The following is a 2,391-nucleotide window of genomic DNA, read 5'->3' on the forward strand; positions in this document are numbered from 1 at the left end:
TTAGGATATTCATTTTCAAATGCAAATGTTCATAACCTAACAGACATGAAATATTTTCAGGTTTCTTTCTACAACTTCTTTGAGTAGAGATTCTCCCAGGTACTGGTTACCTTGAATATTACTGAATAAAGATTTTTTTTAAAAAAGAAATGTTACTATCAATACCATGTAATTTACCTGTTAATCATGTAATATTTTGAAAGTACAGCAACTAACTATGATACTATAATACAGGCATTTTTGTTCTAACACTTTGGAAAAGAGATTAGCATTACGGATGATTTAGATTCATGTTTTGATAGTAAAGGTATCTGTTGAAATATATAGCAGTTCATTTATTTTACATCCTGTATTTAAAATTCTATGATTATATTGGCTCTAATTTTAAAATGTGTTACAAAACTTATAGTACATATCTTTAATTGCAAGCCCTTATTATTTTACAATACCTAATGAAAATGATCAGTTATGCTCATTTCTACACAAGGTGATATAATAAGACACAAAAATGAGTGAAACAGGTGTTAAATCTCTTTCCCTCACACTGGGGTCATCATCTGCTTTTTTGAAGTATATTTTGTACAAAGAAAAAGATATTGGAAGAGAGTCATTGGTAGTCTAAAATTTCTTGCCTGGCTGTATTTTGGAAAAATATTACACTAGTCCTTTCTCCTTTCCTTTCTGTATCTCTTCTATTTATAACTATTTTACAACTATTTAAAAATGTCTTAGAGTTTAACTGGCCTAAAATATATGAAATGTAGAGATTGATCAAAATAGTTTCTATCAAAATAGTTTTGATCAATCTCTGCAATTTTATATATGAGGAAACTGAAGTCTGAAAGTATTATGCCCTTTGTGTCTCTATTTTGAAAGGCAGTGACAAAATTAAGACATATGACCAGCATCTGCTGAACCATGGATCTTTTTTATAACTAACTATATTATTTCTTTTTTTTCCCCAGAAAAGATGATGGCAGGAAAAGCTTAGAATAATATATATGTTTTTTTCTATTCTATCTAATCAATCAATCAGTTTTGTTTCACTGTAACCCTAACCTTTGTCAATGTCATCAATAGCATCGCTTGTTCAGAAAACAAATGAACATTTTTGGAGTCAAAAAGTTAAACTCAAACTCCATCTTACTGATATGGAAGTGCTGGGAAGGGAGGAGCGTGGCTCCTTTAAATGATATGGAAGGGGTGAAGGAAAGTGCTAGGTAGAGGAAGGGCGTGGTCCCTGGCTGGGGCTCCACCCCCACGGACCTAGGTAAGGACAGGCACTCCTGCCTTCATGCCCAAATGTTGTATTTCCAAAGACCACCCTGGCCCACCATGCCCTCATCCTGTGTGTATAAAAACCAAGACCCTAGCAAGGCAGAGAAGAAGCAGCTGGACATTGAGAGGAGCACATCAGCAGAGGAACACACAGGCACAGGATGTTCAGAGGGATGCACCAGCACCCGCATGCTGGCAGGCTACTGACCAGCAGAACAACGTGGAGTTTGGCTGGGGTGGTTGGAGGAGAGCCCGGGAGAGCCCGCGCCTCTGAGTGGCACAACTCCAGGGGAAAACCATCTCCTTTCTGGCTCCCCCATGTGCAGAGAGCTACTTCCACTCAGTAAAACCTTGCACTCATTCTTCAAGCCCACATGTGAACCAATTCTTCCAGTACACCAAGGCAAGAAACCCTGGGATACAGAAAGCCCTCTGTCCTTGTGACAAGGTAGAGGGTCTAATTGAGCTGACATAAGTCGCCTATAGACCACAAACTAAAAGAGCACTCTGTAACACACCCCACTGGGGCTTCAGGAGCTGTAAACTTTCACCCCTAGACTCAGCCCTGGGGGCGGAGCCCCACAGCCTGCCCATCTGTATGCTCCCCTAGAGGTTTGAGGAGCGGGGCACTGAAGTAGCAAGCCACACCCGCATCGCATGCCTGGCGAGGGGACAAGGGAACTTTTCCTGTTTCGTTACTAGATGTATGACCTTTGAAATTTACTTACATGTTCACATTTTAAAATGGGAACTATAATGAATACCCACAGGTGAAATGAGTGATTTTAACCAGTCTCATTTTGCTTAGTCACATGATCCAGATATATCTGTTAGTCATTTAGTGATTTGTTGATTGATTATTCCTGTTTCTAAAAAAAAATCCCATTTGTATTTGATGAAAACTGAAAAGGCATCTTCATCTTCAGTTTTAGAAACTGCAATGGACTGAATGTTTTTCTCCAAAATTTATATGTTGAAATTCGAATCCCCAAGGTGATAATGATATTAGGATGGAGAGTCTTTGGGAGCCCTCATAAATGAGATTAGTGCCCTTATAAAAGAGACCACAGAGAGATCCCCGACCCCTTACCCCATATGAGGATACATGAAAAG

The 2,391-nt window shown here is 38.9% G+C and overlaps 1 non-coding gene across 1 annotated transcript; it reads left to right on the plus strand.

The window, feature by feature from the left end:
- Positions 1-749: 749 nt before the first annotated feature.
- On the plus strand, positions 750-824 carry MIR3668 (microRNA 3668). The gene has a single exon (NR_037441.1). It is a non-coding gene; the product is annotated as a microRNA 3668 (primary transcript).
- Positions 825-2,391: the final 1,567 nt, after the last annotated feature.

Source organism: Homo sapiens, chromosome 6 (genome assembly GCF_000001405.40).
Source record: "Homo sapiens chromosome 6, GRCh38.p14 Primary Assembly".
Taxonomy (NCBI): Eukaryota; Metazoa; Chordata; class Mammalia; order Primates; family Hominidae; genus Homo; species Homo sapiens.